Source organism: Homo sapiens, chromosome 17 (assembly GCF_000001405.40).
Source record: "Homo sapiens chromosome 17, GRCh38.p14 Primary Assembly".
In the NCBI taxonomy this organism is placed as follows: Eukaryota; Metazoa; Chordata; class Mammalia; order Primates; family Hominidae; genus Homo; species Homo sapiens.
Window position 1 is genome coordinate 28553344 of NC_000017.11, and position 24230 is coordinate 28577573.

General features: G+C 48.9%; 2 protein-coding genes across 4 annotated transcripts, besides 6 other annotated features; both read right to left on the reverse strand.

The window, feature by feature from the left end:
• Positions 44 to 18181, reverse strand: PIGS (phosphatidylinositol glycan anchor biosynthesis class S). The gene is made up of 12 exons (NM_033198.4): positions 18120 to 18181; positions 17706 to 17845; positions 17509 to 17620; positions 10475 to 10564; positions 10088 to 10179; positions 8079 to 8286; positions 6706 to 6848; positions 5133 to 5247; positions 3484 to 3629; positions 2823 to 2923; positions 1508 to 1718; positions 44 to 1152 (listed from the first exon to the last, which is right to left on the reverse strand). The coding sequence occupies exons 1-12, from the start codon at positions 18151 to 18153 to the stop codon at positions 877 to 879; spliced, it is 1668 nt and encodes a 555-aa protein (NP_149975.1). The 5' UTR covers positions 18154 to 18181; the 3' UTR covers positions 44 to 876.
• Positions 17525 to 17721: a silencer, noted in NCBI's record as "fragment chr17:26897886-26898082 (GRCh37/hg19 assembly coordinates)". NCBI's record gives its function as "represses an EF-1alpha promoter that drives an FKBP-Casp9 reporter gene in an ReSE screen in HepG2 liver carcinoma cells {active_cell/tissue: HepG2}" and the evidence as "EXISTENCE:reporter gene assay evidence [ECO:0000049][PMID:32094911]".
• Positions 17525 to 17821: a biological region, named in NCBI's record as "ReSE screen-validated silencer GRCh37_chr17:26897886-26898082".
• Positions 17702 to 17821: an enhancer, noted in NCBI's record as "active region_11931". NCBI's record gives its function as "activates an Ori minimal core promoter by ATAC-STARR-seq in GM12878 lymphoblastoid cells {active_cell/tissue: GM12878}" and the evidence as "EXISTENCE:reporter gene assay evidence [ECO:0000049][PMID:35858748]".
• Positions 18512 to 18561: an enhancer, noted in NCBI's record as "active region_11932". NCBI's record gives its function as "activates an Ori minimal core promoter by ATAC-STARR-seq in GM12878 lymphoblastoid cells {active_cell/tissue: GM12878}" and the evidence as "EXISTENCE:reporter gene assay evidence [ECO:0000049][PMID:35858748]".
• On the reverse strand, positions 19777 to 23552 carry ALDOC (aldolase, fructose-bisphosphate C). Of its 3 annotated transcripts, none has more exons than XM_011524556.3 (10): positions 23458 to 23552; positions 22622 to 22674; positions 22078 to 22201; positions 21780 to 21991; positions 21609 to 21663; positions 21353 to 21513; positions 21151 to 21234; positions 20724 to 20898; positions 20392 to 20591; positions 19777 to 20278 (listed from the first exon to the last, which is right to left on the reverse strand). In XM_011524556.3, exons 3-10 carry the CDS (start codon positions 22187 to 22189, stop codon positions 20183 to 20185), a joined length of 1095 nt encoding a protein of 364 aa, XP_011522858.1. In that variant the 5' UTR covers positions 22190 to 22201; positions 22622 to 22674; positions 23458 to 23552; the 3' UTR covers positions 19777 to 20182. The 3 variants fall into 3 exon arrangements, with proteins under 3 accessions (XP_011522858.1, XP_005258006.1, NP_005156.1); XM_005257949.3 differs by having other exon boundaries at positions 22622 to 22677; NM_005165.3 differs by lacking the exon at positions 22622 to 22674.
• Positions 23485 to 23724: a silencer, noted in NCBI's record as "silent region_8344". NCBI's record gives its function as "represses an Ori minimal core promoter by ATAC-STARR-seq in GM12878 lymphoblastoid cells {active_cell/tissue: GM12878}" and the evidence as "EXISTENCE:reporter gene assay evidence [ECO:0000049][PMID:35858748]".
• Positions 23775 to 23954: an enhancer, noted in NCBI's record as "active region_11933". NCBI's record gives its function as "activates an Ori minimal core promoter by ATAC-STARR-seq in GM12878 lymphoblastoid cells {active_cell/tissue: GM12878}" and the evidence as "EXISTENCE:reporter gene assay evidence [ECO:0000049][PMID:35858748]".

Genomic DNA, 24230 nt, shown 5'->3' on the forward strand with positions numbered 1-24230 from the left:
GTTACTTACGCGTGAATGCAGAAAGAGTAGAGCTCAGACTTTGTATCATTCCAATTCATATTCAGCCAGTGTTTATTAAGAGCCTACTACACGCCAGACACTTTACATGCTGATCACATTTACTCCTCACAACCATCTTGTAAGGGAGACATCATCAGTGCCATTTGAACAAATGAAAAACTGAGGCTCAGAGAGATTCAATACCTTATCCAAAGCTCTCCAGACAATAAGTGCAAAAACAAGGATTTGAATTCAGGACTGTTTGATTCCAAATCTGGAACTTTCTGGAACCTCTGACACACACACACACACACACACACACACACACACACAGCACCATGTCCTGAGCTGCTGCCTCCTGGACTCCCGCCAGACTGCACCTGACAGACAAAGCCAACTAGGAGGGAGGGGAGTGAGGGAGAAGGTCCCACAGGTGACCAATGCCTGGCCCCTTCATGACAGCAGGGGCTAGGGCTGTCCCACAGGGACTAGAGAGAGGTGTGGAAGGCAGGGACTTTCCCATAATGCTCCCTCCTCTCAGTGCACAAGTGTGCTATGTTGAGAAATGGGGCAAAAGAACAAACAGTCCTTGCCACAGAGGGAGACAGGCAGCAGCCTTATCAAACAAGATAAGGAGACCCGGATGATGTGCCTTTTGAGGCCCCTGGTGGTGGAGGAGGATTGAGCCAGGTGAATGGGAAAGGAAGAAAAGATGAACCCATCTTGGAGTGTTGTACTTTGGTTGCTGGAGAGCCAACAGTGGAGACTGGAGACAAATATTTAAGTCATTCCGGCAGGCCCCATGTACGTGCCTCACAATCTAACACCGCCCACCTTGGCCAGAAAGGAAGGCTTCCTATGGAGGTGCTGCCCTGCTCAGTCTGTCTTCTCAGGCTTTCTCCAGGACTTGCGGGTCTCCAGGAAGATCTTGACCAGGGACAGGAGGATGGGCACAGCCATAGGCAGGAAGAGTGGGATGTAGATGGCAAACTTCTGGTCATCAGGGAAATAAAGGAGGTGGAGGAGTGACGGGTCAAAGAAGGCAAGCTCAGAGGATGTCACAGCTTCCTGGCTGGCGACAAAGGCAGATGCCAGGTGCCCAGACGCCAACTCTTCTGCCGACTTCTGGACGGCAGCTACAGCCTTGTACACCTAGGAAGGAGAAGGGACAAGAGGGTATACCAGTAAGTCCTAGGCATTGGTGGAAAGGGTGCTGGGCCTTACTGTGCCTTCCATCTACCAAGGAAGATGCCTGGAGTTCATCCAGGATCTATGGAAGTCTTTCTACAGGGATATGGTTTATTTTCCTAGGGTCAGCTTGAAACCTCGCACTCTCATCTGCACTCCTGCTTGGGGGCTGGTACTGCCGTCTAGAGGAAGGCTGGGACACTAAAGATGGCAAGCCCACACATACCATGGACCTCACAGGCTCTCTGGTCTCACCACACTCTGGCCCTCTCTGGCTACTCCAGTCCCAAGCTGCAGAATCCATCCCCTGCCTGCTTACCTCAGATGCCACGTCGTCCTTAATGACAATGTTGCTGATCTTGCCCAGAAGCTGCGCCAGGGAGGTAAGGGTGGTGGTGGCTGTGGCCAGGTTCTCCACTGACCGAGCCCAGAGCAGCCGGTCTAGCTCCCAGGTCATTAGCCCTTCACTCGTAGGCCCTGAAAGCAGGCATTTTGGAGGCAGCTGGGGCTGAGCAATCCCAAAGAGCAACCTGTAGGAACATCGGAGTAAGATCAAGGTGGCTGAGACCACAAGGCGGGAGATCATGGCTAAGATTTCTCAAATATCTGTCCTGAGCCAGTGATTTTCAATCTTACCCAGAACCATAGGGGTTAAAGGGAAGTACCTCAGGGTCTTGGGGGCATAAGGGGCAACACCAAACAAGTTGGCCCCAAACGCTGCTTCAACAGGTGTTTCTGCTTTTACCTGTTTCTACATTAGATTTCCAAGATCTTGTTTTTTAAAAAAAGGTTCCATGGCTAAAATACTTCTGATAACACCAACTCAGTTTAATCCTTTCACCTTTTCTACCCTCTCTTTGAACAAATGGGGCCAATGGGACTTAGCATTAAGGGATGATCCAGGACTGCCTTTGCCAAGGCACATGTGCTGTGCTTCTCTAAGCCTGCATCCGTGAGAGACACTGCTAGTCAATCAGAAGAATACTCTTTCCTAATGAGCCCAGATACAGCCTTAGAATCCTCAACACAGAGCCTCAGGCAGCCACTCTCAATCCATCAGGCAGCATAAGAATTAACAGCTATTTTCTTAAGCAGCCCTAATCACACTCCATGGACCTGACATTCATGAGTCTATTTTTCTTAAAACTGGTTTTGCTGGCTGGGCACAGTGGCTCACGCCTGTAATCCCAGCACTTTGGGAGGCCTAAGCGGGTGGATCACGAGGTCAGGAGTTCAAGACCAGCCTGGCCAAGATGGTGAAACCCCGTTTCTACTAAAATTACAAAAAATTAGCCAGTTGTGGTGGCGGGCACCTGTAGTCCCAGCTACTCGGGAGGCTGAGGCAGAGAATTGCTTGAACCCGGGAGGTGGAGGTTGCAGTGAGCCAAAATGGCACCACTGCACTCCGGCCTGGGCAACAGAGCAAGACTCCGTCTCAAAAAAAAAAATAAATGATTTTGTCACCTACTAGTCCTTCTTAGAAGGATGATGGGATCCTTAGAAACTTTTCTTGGTTTCCCTGGGGCTCTAGGCACAGCCAAGATATCCCTGCCAGGTAAGACTTGATTCCACTTTGCAACTCCCCTCTACAGCCAAGGAGACTATGTCCCCAAGTGGATCATCCAGGACCTCACCGCAACTGTGCCAGGAACACCTCCATCACTCGCACCATGTCCACCTCGACTCTCACTGGCAGCACTGAGGCATTATAGGTTTTGGAGTCAACATTATATACCTGAAAGGGGGAATGAGATTGCCACAACATCATACCAGGCCCTTGCACAGCTCTGCCCTAGGCACTCTGGAGAGAAAAGGAAAACATATTCTGTGCTCTTTAGAAGCTATAAACCTCATGGTATAGCTAATATTTTTTGAGTACCTACTACGGAGAGCATTAAATACATTATCCCAATTACCCCCTTGAAAGTCCTGTAGAACATATTTTTTTCTTATCCCATTTTAGAATTCTCCCCCATGAGAAACTTCCAGTCTAACAAGGGAGACAAGGCTCCCAACCTTGCAAGACTCCCACAAATAAGGCGAAGATCTAAGATGGACACAGAATGATCCTAGGTAAGGGCAAAGGGTCACAGTATAGAAAACACTGGCGGAAACAAAAGTGGGGCCGGCAGAAGAGGGGCATGAGCACATAGCACCCTCACCTTCCTGGTGCCTGCCCCTCCCACAGGCTGGGCCATGGAGGACACCAGAAGGAAAACAGAAGGAACACAGTTTCAGGGACACCTGCCTGTCCCAGAAGCATGGGCTCTGGGGTCTGCGTAGTGTGACTATTACCATAATGCCACCCCAGCGGGGACTATGGAAGGCATTGGTGGCCACTGGAGCGCCATCCTTGTCCTGAATGTACAGCGGTGAGTGTGCAAGCTCAGGCACGTAGAGTAGAAAGTTGAGCACAGGGTACAAGGAGGCAGCACTGGATCCTGTGGTATAAAGGGAAAGCAGAATATCAAAACATGCTGGACCTGGACCTTAGTCCCAGGTCGGCCTCTAACTTGCTGGTCACTCACTCTGGGACTGATTCCCCAACTAACAATCATTAGGATATCCTCCTGTCCAGGGTGTCTCTAGTAAAGGGCTTCAGAATGTTCTCCCGAGATGTGCCATACCGATGGAAACATAGTCCTTAGCTCCAAAACACCCCCGAATTCTCCCTCCTCAAAGGCCCCTTGACTGTCTACGACAGCTTTCTTGGCCACTCCCACAATGTACCCATATTACTACAGATAGTTTTATGCAAACCAGAAATCTGACCTTATGTCAGTTCCCTGCTTAATATCCCTCAATCACTAGCCACCCATATCAGGTTAAAGTTCAAACTCCTTAACATGGTCCTTTATGACCTGGCTCCTGCCTGCCTAACCGGCTTCATCTTTGGTCACTCACTCACATTTCAGCCACACTAAACTACTCTGAGCTTCCTGAATGCCTAAGCTCTCTCACTTGTCTGCATCTAAGCTCACAGTTCCCTTTGCCTGAAATGCCCTTCTTTTCTCTACTCAGCACTGTCATAAGGTAGTCCCTCAGTCAATGTTTGCTGAATGAATAAATGAACGGAGGAATTTTCTAAGGCCTCACATGCCACCCCCTCACAATCCTTGGGCCACACTAGCCTGCCTCTGGTATCTGAGATTCCACAATTAGATATACTCACTTTGGTTTGCCTGTGTTACAGTTCTTAGTCACACCTCCTCTTCCTAGTTTCCACCCGAAAAATGAAAAACTCTAATACTAGCTTCAAGGTTATTCAACCTCAATCAGCAGAACTGTCAATTCAAATTCTGCCCTCAAGTACTTTTGCTGTTGTCTTTCCTATGTGTGTGACAGCCTCTCTCCTAGATGGCTTTTAGGGAGATAGACCCAGCCTAGTCATTCATTTGTAAAAAGTGCTAGGAATCACGTTTAATAAATGCTTTTGGATATGATAGGTGTGAAGATGGAGATATCAACAGAGCATCATGAAAAAGGAACCTAGGGCTCAGGCATAGTGGCTCACGCCTATAATCCCAGCATTTTAGGGGGCTGGGGTGGGAAGATCACTTGAGGGGAGTTCAAGACCAGCATGGGCAACATAATGAGATCCTGTCTCTAAAAAAAATTTTGAAAATTAGCCAAGTGTAGTGGCACATACCTATAGTTCTAGCTACTCGAGAGGCTGAGGTGGGAAGACCACTTGAGTCCAGGAGTTGGAGGCTGCAGTGAGCTATGACTGTGCCACTGCACTTTAGACTGGGCAACAGAGCAAGGCCTTGTCTCAAAAAAAGAAAAAAAGGAGCCTCAATCTCCACAGTCTCCTCGGACCAACCCAACCTGGGAACCATCACTGTATATAATCCACCTCCAACTCCTGTCCCCTACCCAGCTGAGCCGTCAGGGTCCCTCCCTAGCCTGGCAGAAAAGAAAGACCCTCATCCTTAGGTGCTCACCCAGCCGGGACTCCACTGGGTTGATGACATGGGGGAGGCTGTGCATGTCCAAATAGTAGCTGGAGGAAGCTGAGTCAAAGCGGGGATTCACCCCCAACATTGCATAGTAAAGAATCTGTAGAGCAAACAGGGAGTGGTTACTTTGTTTAGATTTATATTCTACTTTCTCCCAAAAAAGATTTGAGGTGCCTTAAAAAAGACACAATCAGGACAAGGCAACATATAAGAGACAAAATCAGGGCTGAGAGAAAATAATTGCAGAAGAAAATAGCAAAGCCAAGGGTAAACTGAATAAACTAAATACGTGCTTTAAAAATCACGTATTTTACCAGGTTTCCTAACAGTCTACACAAAGAGAGAAACAAAGAACAGCATAATTCAGTGTCTACAAGATCAAATCAAGCCAGTTATTCAGAAGCAATTACTCCCACTAGGAAGACCTGATAAAAATTTCTCCCACGTGTTTTCCCTACAAGGAGACAGCGTGATACAGAAAGCTACATTCTTCACATCTTTTTTTTTTGAGATGGAGTCTCACTCTGTTGCCAGGCTGGAGTGCAGTGGCACAATCTTGGCTCACTGCAAACTCCACCTCCCGGGTTCAAGCAATTCTCCTGCCTCAGCCTCCCGAGTAGCTGGGACTAAAGGTACGCGCCACCATGCCCAGCTAATTTTTATCTTTGTAGAGATGGGGTTTCACCATGTTGGCCAGGATGGTCTTGATCTCCTAACCTCGTGATCCGCCTGCCTCAGCCTCCCAAAGTGCTGGGATTACAGGCGTGAGCCGCCGCACCTGGCCCTTCACATCTTTATTGTTACTACAATAACAAATTTCAGGAAGCATTTTTCTAAAAACTAAATTCCTTAAGAATGGCTCTGCTGGGCTCCATCACTCACACCTGTAATCCCAGCACTTTGGGAGGCCAAGGCAGGTGGATCACGAGGTCAAAAGATCGAGACCATCCTGGCCAACGTGGTGAAACCCCATCTCTACTAAAATACAAAAATCAGCTGGGCAAAGATCAAGACCATCCTGGCCAATGTGGTGAAAACCCGTCTCTACTAAAATACAAAAATCAGCTGGGCATGGTGGCACGCACCTGTAATCCCAGCTACTCAGGAGGCTGAGTCAGGAGAATCGCTTGAACCTGGGAGGCGGAGGTTGCAGTGAGCTGGGATCACACCACTGCACTCCAGCCTGGTAATAGAACAAGACTCTGTCTCAAAAAAAAAAAAAAAAAAAAAAAGATGGGTCATGGCATTAACATCTAAGCACAATTGGTGAGTACAGGTCTAGAGGGAGCTATAGGAAGGTGGTTTGTTAACAAGCACTGACAAACTCTCTCAATAGGATGCCAAGGAAGTAAAGACACCAGAATCTGCCCTCAATGGATGGATGGACACAGACAAGGGCACACACGCACCCCCAGTACCCACCCTTATGACACTCACATACATATACACACAGGAAATTCCTAGCAAATCAGCAAGCTCTAAGAGATGGAGGAACAGACTGCACTTGTAAATATGTATAGACATTGAAAAGGACTCCTCAACTTGCTCCCGGTCTCACCTGAGAGTCCACAGAGAAGTTGCCAGCGGCACCGAGGGCATTCAGGAAAGGTTGCACATAGCGCCGGACAGCCCCCTCAATGTCCCAGTAGACATCATGGGACTTGGGGTCTGGGTTGAGTAAACTGAAGGTGATCTCATAGCCTACAGAAACAGGAGTCAGGGAAGTCAGAGGCTCTTGTGGATCAAAGAAGAGGGGCAGCCTGTACTCCCAGCTGAGCTGAACTTGTTTCTCCTCTGGAATGGGGCTGCTTTCCATCATGGAACCAAAAGGAGGACAAAACTGGGATGAGGAACACTGAGTAAGAAAAAGCTGCCGGGCGCTGTGGCTCATGTCTGTAATCCCAGCACTTTGGGAGACTGAGGCAGACGGATCACTTGAGGCCAGCACTTCAAGACCAGCCTGGCCATCATGGAGAAACCCCATCTCTACTGAAAATACAAATATCGGCCGGGTGTGGTGGCTCACGCTGTAATCCCAGCACTTTGGGAGGCCGAGGCAGGCAGATCATTTGAGGTTGGGATTTCAAGACCAGCCTGGTCAACATGGTGAAACCCCGTCTCTACTAAAAATACAAAAATTAGCTAGGCATGGTGGTGGGCGCCTGTAATCCCAACTATTCAGGAGGCTGGGGCAGGGGAATCGCTTGAACCTGGGATGCGGAGGTTGCAGTGAGACAAGATCACGTCACTGCACTCCAGCCTGGACGACAGGAGGCTCCGTCTCAAAAAAAAATAAAATAAAAATAAAAATACAAGAATTAGCCAGACATGGTGGCATGCACCTGTAATCCTACTCAGGAAACTGAGGAGTGAGAATCACTTGAACGTGGGAAGCAGAGGTTGTGGTGAGCCAAGATCACGCCACTGCACTCCAGTCTGGGCAACAGAGCAAGACTCTGTCTCAAAAAATAAAATAAAATAAATAGGCCAGGTGTGGTGGCTCACACTTGTAATCCCAGCACTTTGGGAAGCCGAGGCGGGCAGATCACGAGGTCAGGAGATCGAGACCATCCTGGCTAACACAGTGAAACCCCGTCTCTACTAAAAATACAAAAAAATTAGCCAGGAGTGGTGGCGGGCACCTGTGGTCCCAGCTACTTGGGAGGCTGAGGCAGGAGAATGGCGTGAACCCGGGAGGCGGAGCTTGCAGTGAGCCGAGATAGTGCCACTGCACTCAGCCCAGGCAACAGAGTGAGACTCCGTCTCAAAATAAATAACTAAAAAAAATAATAATAATAATAATAACATAAAATAAATAAGAAAAAAATTGAGACTAGAGAAGAAAGGAGAAAGAAGTTGGCATGCAGATTTCCCTCCTGCCCCATGTAATTCATTTCCTCTCCCTTCATGTGGCAGAGCCTGGTGCCCTACCCAAGCTGGACTTGAGAGGCCGCCTCTTCTCAGCGCTCCACTTGTCCTCTGGAAGGTGGTCAGCCAGAGCAGCAGCAAGCACATCCTCAGTCAAAGACATGGCCTGGGCCACCTGGACTATGCGGCGGCCAATGATGTTAAAGGCCTCCCGGTGCATTATCCCCCGCACCACTGCTGTCCTCTTGGGCCCAATGTAGCTCATCATGTCCTGTGGGGGTGAGCAAGAGACAGAATGCCCATGGCTCAGAAAAGAAAGCCAAAAAGCACCCTGGCTCCTACTGTTCCGAATCTGCCCCTTTGCCAATGACCAACAGGTTTGCACCTCTCTTGAGATTCATGAGCTATTAACTCAGCATTTCTGAGCTATGAGTATATATTGAGTATTTTCATTTGTCTCCGTTCTCTTCTTTTTCCCAGTTGACATGGGTCCAGGCAGCATCTAACTCTTCAGGGGCTGGTAAAATGGTGAAATGGAAACTCAGAGATGGCATGCTGAGCAAGAAAAGCGGAATAAACAGACAACTGGAGAGTCTGATATAAAAATGGCACATGGCAAAGAAACAAGTATTCATAATAGCATTATTTCTAACAGTAAAACCTAGAAATAATCCAAATGTCCATTAGCAATAGAATGGGTAAATTATGTTTATGTTTATACAATGATACATAGATTCAACTACATAATTATGGATGATTCTCTCACCAGGCTCTGCCACATGAAGGGAATAAAATAAAAGTGGCAGAGGAACATGTGTTATAAGCCACCATTTATATAAATTCAAAAATGTAAAATTAAATACATTGTTTACAGAGATACAGCATATGTGATCAAACTCTAAGGAAAAGCAAGAAAATTACAAACACAAAATCTGGTTGCCTTGGGCCAAAAGGGAATGGAGTATAACCATGGAAGTACACACCGTGCTACTGCACTGCAGTTTGTGAGCTGGGGGTGGGGATGGGGACGTTCATTAACATTTTCTTTAGTGCTTTTATAAAAATTAAATATTTGATTATAAATTTTCTTTTTGAGACAGAGTCTCACTCTGTCGCCCAGGCTGGAGTGCAGTGGCACTATCTTGGCTCATTGCAACCTCCACCTCCTGGGTTCAAGTGATTCTCCTGCCTCAGCCTCTCGAGTAGCTGGGACTACAGGCACCCACCACCACGCCCGGCTAATTTTTGTATTTTTAGTAGAAATGGGGTTTCACCATGTTGACCAGGCTGGTCTCAAACTCCTGACCTCAAGTGATCCGCCTGCCTCGGCCTCCCAAAGTGCTGGGATTACAGGCATGTGCCACCGCACCCGGCCGATTCTTGTATTGTTAGTAGAGATGGGGAGTGCAATGGCATGATATTAGCTCACTGCAACCTCCACCTCCCAGGCTCAAGCGCTCCCCCTGCCTCAGCCTCCAAAAGTAACAGGGACTACCACATCCAGCTAATTTTTTTTATTTTTTGTAGAGATGGGGTTTTGCCATGTTGCCCAGGCTGGTCTTGAACCCCTGAGTTCAAGCAAACTGCCCGCCTCGGCCTCCCAAAGTGCTGGGATTACAGTGTGAGCCACCAGACCCAGCCAGCATTCTTTATTAAAAATATGTGGAGGACGGGTGCGGTGGCTCACGCCTGTAATCTCAGCACTCTGGGGGGCCAAGGCAGGTAGATCACAAGGTCAGGAGTTCGAGACCAGCCTGACCAACGTGGTGAAACCCCATTTCTACTAAAAATACATTACATGGCACATGCCTGTAATCCCAGGTATTCAGGAGGTTGAGGCAGGAGAATCACTTGAACCCGGGAGGCGGAGGCTGCAGTGAGCCGAGATCCCGCCACTGTACTCCAGCCTAGGCAACAGAGCAAGACTCCGTCTCAAAAAAAAAAAAATTTTTTTTTGGAGAGTTTTCTGTAGCAAATGGAAGAAATGGGTAGCAATGATGCAAGAAGGAGGTGACCCAGGAGTCCACGAGCTGAAGGGATAAGGCAAAGTCGCAGCCTCTCTGTTACCTTACCTGGGGAAGAAGTGAGGAGTGTTCAGATATCACGTACACAGTCAGGGAGCCCTCCGCTTGTTCCTGAGGCTCATCTAACATGGCTTCTGCCTCTGGGGGCAAGAACAGGTGGTACACCAAGAGCAAAACACCATTCCATCTCCCCCCAGCCCCAAAGAATGCCTAACCCACCCCTTCACTCACATTCAGCTGACACAGTGGTCAGGCTTGGGTAAGCCAATCAACCTCTCTGGCCCTCAGTGGACTGGGCTGAATCCCACAGTTCCTCATTCCCAGCATTCCAAGAGAGGTTTTGGAAGTAAGCCAAAGCATGGGAACTATGCACTTAGAGATCAGAAGGAAAAAGAGGGCTTCACATTAAAATGGTGTGCTCATCCCTTCCCATACCTTGCACACTGCCCGATGACAGGGCCTCCTCCTCATGGTCCAAAGCCCTCCGATAGGCCTTCTGGAAACGGCATTTGATTTTCATTTTGTCTGGGAGGGATAAGAAGTAGCACAATGAAAAGGGCAAGCATCATGCCTCTGCCCACCTTCCCAGACCTAACACTGTCCAGCATCTGAGGACAGCAAGATGGCTGTTTACAGAAAAAGACCAAGCAGCTGCAGCCAACTCTAATGATTTCTGCATAGATGATATCAAACACATGACACCCATTTCGCCCATCTGCCGCAGCTCTTGCCTTCACCTCTGCACACACTGGTCCTTCAGCGTGAAACGTCTTCCCACTGGGAAATCTATTTCAATAGTCATTACATTAATAGGCAAAAGGAGAAAAACTGTATGGTCATTCCAATCACTGCCCCAAAATAATTAAATTCAGTGAATGTTCCTGATAAAAAACAAAATACACAGGCTGGGCACGGTGGCTCATGCTTGTAATCCCAGCAATTTGGGAGGCCAAGGCAGGCGGATCCCTTGATCTCATGAGTTGGAGATTAGCCTGGACAACATGATGAAACCCCAACTCTACAAAAAATACAAAAATTAGCCAGGTATGTGCCAGACATGGTGGCTCACACCTGTAATCCCAGCACTTTGGGAGGCCAAGGCGGGTGGATCACCTGAGGTCAGGAGTTTGAGACCAGCCTGGCCAACGTGATGAAACCCCATCTCTACCAAAAATACAAAAAATTAGCTGGGTGTGGTGGCAGGCGCCTGTAATCCCAGCTACTCGGGAAGCTCAGGCAAGAGAATCACTTGAACCCAGAAGGCGGAGGCTGCAGTGAGCCGAGATCACACCATTGCACTCCAGCCTGGGCAACAAGAGCGAAACTCCATCTCAAAAAAAAAAAAAAAAAGGCAGTTATGGTGGTGCACACCTGTAGTCCCAACTACTTGGGAGGTTGAGGTGGGAGGATGACTTGAGCCTGAGAGGCAGAGGTTGCAGTGACCTGAGATGGCACCACTGCACTCCAGCCAGGGTAATAGAACCAGACCTTGTCTCAAAAAAATAAAAAATAAAAACCACACACTTAATGACAAAATATTAAACATAATTCTGTAAAGTTAGTAATAAAACAAGGATGCCTGCTATCTCCTCTATTCTCATTGTTATTCAGTATTGTTCTTTCTAAAGTTCTTGACCAATGTAATATGTGAAGAAAGAGAAAGAAAACTTAAAAGTATTGGAAAGAAACAGATAAAATGGCCACTTTGAAGTAGCATAATTATTTCTCAAGAAAATCAGAGAACCAACTGAAAAACTATTAGAACTAGCAACAGTTCAATAAGATGACTAGATACAAGGATATGCAAGAATCAATACCCGCATAAATACCAGCAATATCCAATTAGAAACATCTTTTAAAACCTCAATCACATTAACAATAAAGTATAAAAATACCCAGGAATAAATGTATAAAACTATAAGAAGAAAACTTCAAGACTTTACTGAAGGACATAAAATATCTGAACAAAATGGAATAGCATACAAGGCCCCTAGATGAATATTATAAAGATGTCATATTATAAAGACTATTATAAAGATGTCAACTCTCCCCAAATTAATATATACATGTAAGGCAATCCTGAAGGGATTTTTTTTGCCTCCTGAAACTTGACAAGCTAAACCTAAAATTTATTGAAAAAGTTCCTCTTTTCTTTATAAAAGAATTCCAGGTCATACATTTCTTCCAGAAAGAAGAAATGACAGAATTGTAAAAGTCACTAATTTGGCCAGGTGTGGTGGCTGATGCCTGTAATTCCAGCACTTTAGGGTCCGAGGTGGGAAGATTGCTTAAGCCTAGGAGTTTGAGACCAGCTCGGGGAACACAGTGAGACCCCGTCTCTACAAAAAATTTAAAAACTAGCTGGGGCCAGGTGCACTGGCTCACGCTTGTAATCCCAGCACTTTAGGAGGCCAAGACAGGCGGACTGCTCGAGGCCAGGAGTTCAAGACCAGCCTGGCCACCATGGTGAAACCCCGTTTCTACTAAAATTACAAAAATTAGCCAGGCATGGTGTCTGTGCACTTGTAGTCCTAGCTACTCAGGAGGCTGAGGCAGGAGAATCACTTGAACCCGGGAGGCGGACGATGCAGTGAGCTGAGATTGCGCCACTGCACTCCAGCCTGGGTGACAGAGTGAGACTCTGTCTCAAAATAAATAAATAAATAAACAAATTAAATAAAATAAATAAAAAATTAGCTGGGCACAGTGGCACATTCTTGTAGTCTCAGCTACTTGGGAGCTTGAGAGCTTGAGGTAAGAGGACCACTTGAACCCAGGAGTTCAAGGTTACAGTGAGCTATGATTGGGCCACTGCACTTCAGCCTGAGTGTCAGACCCTATCTCAAAAAAAAAAAAAAAAAAAGGACCCCTTGTCTACTTTTTCTTTTCTTTTTTTTTTTTTTTTTGTTTTTTTGGGTTTTTTTTTGAGATGGAATCTGGCTCTGTTGCCCAGACTGGAGAATAACAGTGGGATCCCGGCTCACTGCAACATCCGCCTCCCCATTTCAAGCAATTCTCCTACCTCAGCCTTCCAAGTAGCTGGGATTACAGGCATGTGCCACCACACCCAGCTAATTTTTGTATTTTTAGTAGAGACAGGGTTTTCCCATGTTGAGCAGGCTGGTCTTGAACTCCTGACCTTAAGTGATTTACCCGCCTCAGCCTCCCAAAGTGCTGGGATTACAGGCGTGAGCCACCGCGCCCAGCCTACTTTTTTTTTTTTTTTTTTGAGACAGAGTCTCGTTCTGTCTCCCAGGCTGGAATGCAGTGGCACAATCTTGGCTCAATGAAACCTCTGCCTCCTAGGTTCAAGCAATTCTCCTGTCTTGGACTCCAGAGTAGCTGGGACTACAGGCACACACCACCACACCCAGCGAATTTGTGTATGTTTAGTGGAGAAGGGGTTTCACTACATTGCCCAGGCTGGTCTGAAACTCCTGACCTCAAATGATCCACCGCCTTGGCCTCCCAAAGTTCTGGGATTACAGGCGTGAGCCACTGTGCCTGGCCACACACCAGTAGTCCTACCTACTTGGGAGGCTGAGGTGGGAGGTCTGATTGAGCCTAGGATTTCAAGGCTGCAGTAAGCTATGATTGAGCCACTGCACAGCAGTCTGGGTGACAGAGTGAGACCCTGTCTCTAAAAAAAATAAAAATTAAAAAAAGCATTATCTTGTGACTGCTAATGAAATGGATTCCATGATCAAATAGATGCTAAAAATATGTAAAAGGTTGATGAGAAACTCTAAAATATAGAGATCAGGCTGACAATACCTGAACTCACTACATAATCTTTGCATCACCCAAAATGGAACAACTAGCCATTAAGTGCTTCAGGATACAACACAATAGGAAGTACACTGCACCACCTACAATGTATTCTCATCCAAAAAATTGAACCTGGCTTTAATCAAACCACTAGATCTAACTCCCAGTTTATAAGGAATATGGATGCTAGAGGAATGAGTTAAATTAAACTGTGAGGAAGCTACTCGCCAAATCCCAAATGTGAGATGTTCTATAAAACAAATGACCTGGTTTCTCCAACAAATCAATGGTGTGAAAGAAATGTATGGGGGTAGGGTGGGGGGAGCTGACATAAAATAAAAGTGACAAAAAGACAAATGCAACTTATTGATCCTGATGGAATAAACCATCTGTGAAAGGATACCTTGGAGATAACTGGAGAGATCTAAATACAGACTGAGAATTAGGTGATATTAAGGAATCACTGCTAACTTAGTTAGGTGTGACAATGGTAGTCATGTTTAAAAAAAGAAACAAAAAACCTTCAATGGCTTCCCTTCTTATCTAGAATAAAAGCCTAGAATGCAAATTCTCACAGTGATCTACCAGGCCCTAAGTGATTCAGCCCCCTTCTACTGTTCTGGTTTTATTTCATTTCCTCTTTCTCTCTTCCTCATTCACTCCAGTGAAGCCACAAGGAGATTCTCACTGCTCCTGAAAGGTACAACACTTGCTCTTAACTCGGGACCTTAGACATGCTTTTCCCTCTGCCAAGATGCTCTTCCCCCAGATATCTGCACAGTCTATTCCCTCGCCTTTTAGGTATTTACTCGAATGTCCTCTTTTCAATGAGACCTCCCTTGTCCACCCTATCTAAAACTGCAATCCCCTCCCATTCCTCAAGAAAATTCCCTCTCCTCCTGTCCTGCTCTATTTTTCTTCTGTCACCATCTAACATACATTTGACTTACTTGTCTTTTTTTCTTTTTTTTTTTGAGATGGAGTCTTTGTCACCCAGGCTGGAGTGCAGTGGTGGGATCTTGGCTCACTGCAACTTCCACCTCACAGGTTCAAGCGATTCTCCTGCCTCAGCCTCCCAAGTAGCTGGGATTACAGGCGCCCGCCACCACGCCCGGCTAATTTTTGTATTTTTAGTAGAGATGGGGTTTCACCATGTTAGCCGGGCTGGTCTCAAACTCCTGATCTCAAGTGATCTGCCTGCCTCGGCCTCCCAAAGTGCTGGGATTACAGGTGTGAGCTACCACATCCAGCTTTGTCTTTTTTATTGTCTTCTTCTTGTCTGTTTTGTTCACTGCTATATCTCTAGTAACTAGAACTGTATCTGACATAGCTACAAAGTAAATACTTGTTGAATAAATGAACAACGCTATTACTATTTCCGTCTAACAGATGAGGAAACCAAGGTTTAGAGAAGTTAACAACCTTACTCAAATTTACACAAATAAGTGGCAGAATAAGGCTTGAATTCCAGCTCTCTGATCCCAGATTCTATACTCTTGGTCACCCTTTATACGTGTTGCCTATACTATACGTTTACAGTATACCCATATTACTGAACACTGTGTTATCAAATATGAAGAAATCCATGATAAACTGAAAACAATCAAATTTCAAACTAACTTGTGAGGGATAGTCCAATTTTTGTTTAGAAAACAAGAAGTTTGGCTGGGCATGGTGGCTCACGCCTGTAATCCCAGCACTTTGGGAGGCCGAGGCTGGTGGATCACTGGAGGTCAGGAGTTTGAGACCAGCCTAGCCAACATGGTGAAACCCCGTATCTACTAAAAATGCAAAAAATTAGCTGGGCGTGGTGGCAGGCGCCTGTAATCCCAGCTACTTCAGAGGCTGAGCCAGAAGAATCGTTTGAACCCAGGAGGCAGAGGTTGCAGTGAGCCAAAATCGTGCCATTGCGCTCCAGCCTGGGCAACAAGAGCGAAACTCCATCTCAAAAAAAAAAAAAAAAAAGAAAGAAAACCAGAAGTTTGTGTGTGTACAGAGGCTGAACCATACGAAATATCATTTTTTTAAAAAAATGTTTTAACCAGCCGGGTGCGGTGGCTCACACTTGTAATCCCAGCACTTTGGGAGGCTGATCACTTGAGCCCAGGAGCTCGAGACCAGCCTGGGCAACATGGCGAAACCCTATCTCTACTAAAAATACCAAAACAAATCAGCTGGGTGTGATGGTGTGCGGCTGTAGTCCCAGCTATTAAGGCAGGTGGGCTGAGATGGGAGGATCGCTTGAGCCCAATAGGTCAAGGCTGCAGTGGGCCCTGATCGTGCCACCATACTCCAGCCTGGGCAACAAAGAGAGACCCTTTCTCAAAAAAAAAAAAAAAAAAGAAAAGAAAAGTTTTCACCAAGGCTAAAGAACTAAAAAAGTAAATGGCACACAGATGCCTCATGCTCTAGACTCAGCCCAAATCTCCAGTCATTCCCAGTCTTTCACTACACATTCCAGTAAGGCAAAACTGCTCATAGGTCCCCCAATATGCTGATTCACCCCGCCACACTTTCACACAGGAGTATAGTTTGTTGGTTAAAAGCTTGAACACTGGAATCAGTCAGGCCTGGATTTAAATCCCAGTTCCATCTCTTACTAGCTGTGTGACCTTGCACAAGTTAAATTCTCTAAGGCTCAGTTTCTTCATTTATAAAATGGGGATCATATCATTAGAAAGGATTAAATGAGGCAACACATATAAAATGCTTCACCTAGTTTCTGGCACACAGCGAGCAACAACTATCAGCTATCCTTATACTGTCTCATGCTATTAACTTTGCCTGAAATTCTCTCCCTCCTTTTCCCACTTAACCTGAATTCCTACACATCCTTTAAAAATCCGACTTAAGAATTACATCTCTCAAAACTTTCTCTGCCTTTCTTTCCTCCCAGATGGTTAATACTCTTTACTAAGTGCAATCTCTGTTTCTTGTATACTTCTACTGTAATTTATTTTATCTTTCTCCCCTACCTATGAACATCTTGAAACCATTATCAATTTCTTATTCATTCCTAAATTCTTGGTACCTAAAAAAAAGTACCCCAGTAAAGTGTTTAATGTTAAACTGAATAGGGGCTGGGCGCGGTGGCTCACGCCTGTAATCCCAACACTTTGGGAGGCTGAGGCATGCGGATCACCTGAAGTCAGGAGTTCGAGAGCAGCATGGCCAACATGGCATAACCCCGTCTCTACTAAAAATACAAAAATTAGCTGGGCGTAGTGTCGCGCGCCTGTAATCCCAGCTACTCGGGTGGCTGGTGCAGAAGAATCGCTTGAACCCAGGAGGCAGAGGTTGCAGTGAGCCAAGATGGCGCCACTGCACTCCAGCCTGGGCGACAGAGCGAAGCTCCGTCTCAAAATATAATAAATAAATAAACAAACAAACTAAATAGGGCCTATATGCAAATCCAATTTAATTTCAAACTCTGTGTTCTTTCCACTATATCCCACCTCTTCCCCTATACCCTGATGGGCATCAACTGCTTCCGATTAGGTAGCCTGTCTTACGAGTAAAATTGCTATTTAGTGACTGTGAATTTGAAAGTAGTTTTTTTCTGACCAAACACACTGTTCATTCAGAGGTCTTTCAACAGTAAGTTTTTAACTGCGTTTATGGTACACCCCCGCTCCTCCCACCCAACTCAGCTCTGAACTGAGCTCAGAGGCGAAAAGCAGCCCTGATCCCCAGTAACTCACATTTCAGAGGAATCTCTCTTTCATGCACAACGGTGAAGGGCAGCTTCTCCTGGTCGTCCAGGGGCACTGACTCCCGCGTAAACACGACAGTGACAGGCACCATGAGGCGGAGCTACAGGAAGGAGCATCAGGGCCGTCACTGAGTCTCCACCTTGCCGGGGGGGCTGTCCCCCGACCCTCCCGCACAGCAGTCTCACCTGAAGGGCATTCAGGCCACTGATCTGGGAGTAAGGCAACGAGGCCCGGTAGGTCTCCGTGGTCTTCCACCAGAGCGGTAGCCCCAGCACGATGGCCACCGCAGCGAAGAAGAGGGCGGCGCGCTTGCCCCGGGCCACCTCTGAGGGCATGGGGAACCGACTGAGGCGCTGGAAACGGGCTAGGGTACCGGCCCCATCCCCGACGCGGAGAAGCCCCAACCACCGGCCTCCAGGGGCCCGCGTTCATTGGGATCTCCGTGCGAAGGGACCCGGCCCAAGCCTGAAGGGAATCTCGTCTGAAGAGACCCCCGAGCCCCCCGTCCGCGGGACCTCTCGCACACCACAATCCCCACCCCTGCTATTCCTCCCTTGCCATCAGCTAGCTGCAGGCCCCCCACCCGAAGCCCACCGCACCTAGGTGTGTAGCCGCAGCCCCGGCGGCCGCCATGCTAGCTTCCGGCTGCTCCGGCCACCGTGGGGGCAGAGCTTCGTGAGCCTCACCCAATCGGAATCTCTGCAACGAGGGGGCAGGACCGCGGCGGTGATCGGGGCCAATCGCGAGCGCTACTCCAGACCCGCAGACGGGAGCAAGCGGGCGAGGGGTGGGAGGGCTCCGCTGGGAGCTTCGCTGGGGATCTGAAAGGAAGTCACCCGGGCGCGGAGGGACAGCCTAGGGGCCGTGCGGGTTTCGGCGCTGCTGGAACGAAGTTCCCCGCTTCCCTGTAGAACACACTTCTAGCCCCGCAATCAAGAGCGCAACCTCTGCAGTCCTTAAATACTAGCTGGGCAACTACAGGCAGCTCCGAGGCTCATCTGAAAATGGAGATATTTACATAAATGAGGCCGTTCTTGTAAGGAGCCTGGCACACGGAAAGCCCTCAACGTCAACTGTCACGGTCTTATTATCCTTATCGTAGAACTCCTCTTAGGGTGCCCTCTCCTCAAAGCCTCAAACACGGAGGTAGCAAGCTAGTATGTTTTAGCACAATTGGCTCTCTCGCTATTTTAAAATACGTTTTAATTCATTTCCAACTTGGAAAACTCAGAATACTTCACTTAAAAATCTTGAAAAGTCATGAGCCCAGACTCTAGATGCTGATCACTGCGGTTCAAATCCTGGCTTCATCACTTATTAGGTGAGTGATCGTGAGAAGATCGTTCTGTGCCTATCTGTGCCTGTTTTCTCTATTAAAATAGGGATGATAGTAATAGTACCTACTTTATAGAGTTGTATGAAATGTGTCAGTACATATAAAGTGATTAGAACAGGGTTGGTGCTATGTGCAAGCTATTTTTGTTATTATAAAGTCAGGCCACACAGGGTGGAGCATTTGTAGCCTCCCCAGTTGACACAGAACACACGCAGCTTGTTATCTCTTCTTTTTATCTGCTTAGACCCAGGTTCTCAGCCTACCTCACAACCCAGCCCAGTGGTTAAAGTTCAGCATCAGGCCTCACCAGAGCTGTCCTTACCCAGACCCTCCAATTGGCTCCCTTTGTGCCCACTTCTACCCCAAATGAAAATGGGCCATAGCCCTTGGCAACCTCCTAGATGCCCTGCTCAGCCCTGGCAGCCCGCAGAGCCTTGGTTTTCCTCTTTGGGCGGGAGTCCAGGTGCTCGCTTGCCCTTACTGGTGTGGCTCACCCTAGTGGAAGGTACCAGGTCCCAGCTGGGCTTAACACTGCGAGATGGGAGAGACTCCCACCCACTCTTATCCCAGCCTGTCTTGCTGCCTCCCTGCTTTGAGCCTTGCACAAATCTGCCTTCAGGAGTTGCCAGTTTGGCCTCACTCCATACTTCTGTAGCTGCAGCCCAGTGCCACTGATGTGGCAGTCCCTAGAAGACTTGCAGTCTTCCTCATTGCCCCACTCCAGACTTGGACATCAAGAGAGCAAGAGCCTGAGCTGGGGATGGTGACTGCATGTGCCCTTCCTCCATAACTTGAAGCCCAGTAAGACTCAAATCCCACCCTCTCCACCTCCAGAGTCAGAGGGCCCAGAGATAGAATTAGCAGAGATCAGAAACTGGGAGGTGGGAATTTGATGTGTAAAACAGACAGGCAAAGTAGAATGTTTTGCTACCATTTATTTGCTGTATGGTATGTACTCAAGGCATGAGTCAGGGCTTCTGTACTACCCTCTGATCCCAGGAGACAGGGCAGGCAAGAAGGAGAGCCCAGGGAGAAGCTACCTCATCATGGGAAAATTGTGGGAGCTGGAAGAGGTAGGGGGAGACCCAGCCATCCTGTTCTGACTTCTAGCAATTTCTTCTGCCCTCAGTCATGAGGGGCTCCCTATCCTCCCATCCTATGGTCCCAGGTGCAGCAATGAGAGAGGGGAAGGGAAGAGAGAAAGGAAGACAAGTTGGTGCCAGGTGAAGGCATCTCTGCTCTGCATAGCTATTTGGCCCTGGCCATGACTACAAGCAAAAGTGGGTGCAGATGGCTGGGCCAAGGGCTGTGGTATGGAGTGGATACTCAGTAGGCATGGTTGGCAATGTAGAGTGACTGTGCTGCTGCTCCACCATCTTCTCCACTGCCTTCATACTTGCCCTGGGCTGCAAGCCCATTCACCTGCAAAAGGGAGCGTGGAGTAAGCAGGCTGAGCCAGCCCACAGGTGCCAAGCCCTGCCCAGGCTATAGCCTCTGGGTGCTGCCCCCACCCACCACCACCTGTAGCTCCCAACCTCAGCCCGCTTGATGAACTCCTCAGTGGCAGCCCCAGCATTGTCCCGTTGCCCTCGCCAGGCATTGAGTGCAGAGGCTTGCAGGGCACGCCCATAGGAGAAGGTAAGCGCCCAGGGTCGGGGAAGGGGGCAGCGGTTGATGGCATTGAGGTTGAATGATGCCTCTTCTTCGCTCTGACCCCCAGACAGGAAGGTCACTCCTAGTGTGGAGGAGAGAAGACAAACTGACTGGTCACTCCCAATTTTTCCAGGATAGGGAACCCCTGAAGGCCACAAGAAGGACCTGAAGATGGGCCTTAGGGATAGGAGCAGGTTAGGGAGCTGGGTAGTACCTGGGACAGCTGGGGGCACAGTGCGACGCAGGGCAGTGACAGTTGCCATGGCAATCTCCTCTGGGGTATACTTGATGGGACAGGCATGGCCCGGGGTCACCATGTTGGGCTTGAGCAGGGTCCCCTCCAGGTATACATGATGGTCACTCAGGGCCTTGTACACAGCAGCCAAGACCTGGGTGGGGATTAGAGGAGGTTTACTAAGGGTCTGGGCCCCCACTGGTTACTGCTCGATGCTCCCTATGTAGGGGTAGATGGGCACAGACTGTGAGGGCTCAGTACAGGCTCAGATCACAGGCCTGTGCCGGGATGAAGTGAAAAAGTGCTAGGGGAAAGTGTGCCTGGATCTAAGCTGGGGGTTCTGGGGAACAGACACTCCTGCCGAGCTGTCCCTGCAGTATGTTTGTGTGCCCAGGTGTGGACTCACCTTCTCTGTAACATACTGACAACGTTTGAGGTCGTGGTCTCCATCAGGCAATATTTCAGGTTCCACAATAGGCACAATGCCATTCTGCAGGCAAGAGCAGAGATGCTTGGGAGGGGCAGTAGGGGAGATGAAGAAAGCCTTGTGACTCTCTCCCCACCAGGCATACAGGGCACCTAGCTCACCACCCTCCCAACACACACACCTGCTGGCAGATACTGGCATAACGGGCCAGCACGTTGGCGTTCTCCAGAATGGCAAGTGCAGAGGGTGTACGCTCACTGATTTTCAGCACACAGCGCCACTTGGCAAAGTCAGCACCATCCTTCTTGTATTGGGCACAGCGTTCTGAGAGCCCATCCAGCCCTGCAAGCACAGTGCCAACCTCATTACTCTGCCCCTCTTTTACCAGCATCAACTATCTAACACCTCTTTGGTCCTCAAGCCCACCCATCCTATACCTTGAGTGGTGGTTTCTCCATCAGTCCCAGCTAGAGGCACCACACCCTTGTCAACCTGTAGAGGAAGTACAAGCAGAGGGTTGAATCCAGGCAGGATTCTCCTTGCTACCCCTCCTACACAAGCTTATTTTCACACCCAGCTTCCATTCAGAGCAGGGCCAGGGGCTGCACCTTGATGCCCACGACGATGCCCTTATCCTGGATGGTTCGGACGAAGGGAACACCATTATCATCTTTCTGGTAGAGGGTCTCATGGAAGAAAATGACGCCTCCAATGCACTTTTTCACACGGTCATCAGCACTGAACAGGACCTGGCGGTACAGCCGGCGGTTCTCCTCTGTGTTTTCCACCCCAATTTGGCTCAGCCGCTTGGCCATGCTGCCTAGGGGCAAACAAAGAGAGGCAGTGAGAACATCCCCAGGGTCCCCTAGCCACCTGTACCCTACCTGGCTACAGATGTCCACTTACCTACAGACTCATCCGCAGCCAGAATGCCTTTGCCCGGGGCTACAATCCGCAGGGCAATGTCAGACAACTCCTTCTTCTGCTCAGCAGAAAGGGCTGGGTACGAGTGAGGCATGGTGACAGCTCCCTGGAGTGGAGACAAGATAAAAAAGCCAGACCTCACCCTCTGCTGCCTCTCCTGGCCAGATGGGCCAAATGGCCTCCCCATCAAGCAAGGGGCTGGGAACAGGGCAGCAGTCCTTGGCATGAGTCCTGGGCATCAAGTGGCACCAGTCCTTCTGACAGCTAGCAAGCTTAGGGCTCCAGTTCCCACATCTCCTTTTGTCCCTGGTAGGCATCCTTCCCAGCCCTGGGGAAAGATGCAGGGTGGGGGTGGGGAGGTGAGCAGCCCTGAAGCCACAGCTCTTCTGATAAATCTGCTGCCCAATCAAGGATGCCAACCCTTCTTTCACTGAACTTGGTCCCTTGTTGAGGTAGGCAAAAGTCCTGGCCTTTCCAGCTTCCCTTTTCTCATCCTCCACAGGACCCCTAGGGAAAGTGTACTTACTTCCAAGGCTTCAGAATGAGGCAAAAGTACTTATTGCCACCCTCTTCTCTCAGCTTCTAGAGGAAAAGGTTGGAAGAACAGGTAGGGAGTAGGAGTGGCACAAATACCAGTCACAGGCTCCTGCAGCTTCTCCTTTTCTGTACTCCAAACCTGCCTGCCTATGCCTATTGCCTATTCCCACCCAGTACCAGAGGTTGGCCCCAGTGGGGCTGCAGTGATGTAGGAAAGAGGGCCCAGCGGGTCAGCTGTGTTAGTGTGTGGAGACTAGGGCTAGTGACACCTCCGGGTCATCTCTGTGCCCAGGAAGCACTTCACCTGTTTGGCAGGAGGATAGCAATAGGAAGCACTTCAATTCCCCACAACTCAGACACCCAGACGGGAGGGCAGAGGACCAAGGCTGAAAGGAGTAGAGAGCCTGAGAGAGAGATGAGACTGAGGGGAGCTAGTGGTGATGCAGGCTAACCAGTCAGCGGGAGAGACCTAGACCGGGGGGCAGAGAAGGCGGGAGAACTGGAGAGAGGACCTAGCCTAGGAGGAGAGGGAGCAGGCTGAGAAGGAAATGCTCTGGGTAGGAGAGACAGACTCCAAGGAAAAATCCAACAAGTAGAGGAGGATTTGGGATTGGAAAAGCTGAGGTCCAGCTGGGAGAGCTGAAGAGGGATAGAACAGAAGAGGTTGAGCCATGGGGTTTCAAGTACGCGGAAAGGAGCAAAGATGTTAGGAAAGGGTCGAAAGGGCACATCCCGGAGTCCCAGGTAGCAGGACGAGGATGGCAGGGGAAGAGCCAAGGAAATGAAGCGGAGATGTTGAGTGGCTCCCGCCTTGCCTGGCCTTACCTGTGCGCAGCCAGTTAGCAGCCGCAGCCACAAGCACAGCTCGGGTTCTGATCCGCAAACAGATGAGGCTGCAGCCCTGGCTCCCTCTGGTAAATGAGGCTGCGGATGTCGCAGAGCTACGTGACTCCTCCGGGGGCGTGGCCTGCATGCCCCGCCCTGACCACACCCCCTCCCCAGGACTGGTGTCCGGGGCAAGACCACGCCCTCAGAGGCGGGGCGGCGAGGTGGAGTGAGCGCCCCGCCAGGCATCCGTGGCTGTTAGGGACTGCCCTCCCACCTCGGGGAGCCTGGCCATGACCTTGCGTTCATTTCTGCCACAATCCCTTTACCACGTGCCGGGCACTTGCTGGATGCTGGGGATTAAGCTTAGTCTGGTGAAGAGGAGGCACCAGAACAGTAACAACAGGTTGAGTAGGTGGGGCAGAAGCATCTTCAAGGTGCCCAAGTTCAGGGCAGGAAGTAATGAACTGAGCTTCTCTGTCCTCACCCCCATATTTGCCAGGGTATACCCCCGAGGGGGCTGGGGAAAGTAAGAGAATGAAGCCTTTCTGTTTCCTCCAGGCGGTGAGCCAGGGAACAAGCAGTCCAGTGCCCAGAGTTTTGGTGAAAGCAGAGGAAGGGAGGAAGGGCAGGCAGCCTTGGCTTTGGATGCAGCAGGAGGTGGAGAGGGATCTATGGAGGGTGCCCAGGCAGGAGGCCCAAGCTGCTTCTTCCCTGACTTCATCATCCGCCCCCTCTCACCCAAAAAGTAAGATTCCGTAAGCTTGGAGAAA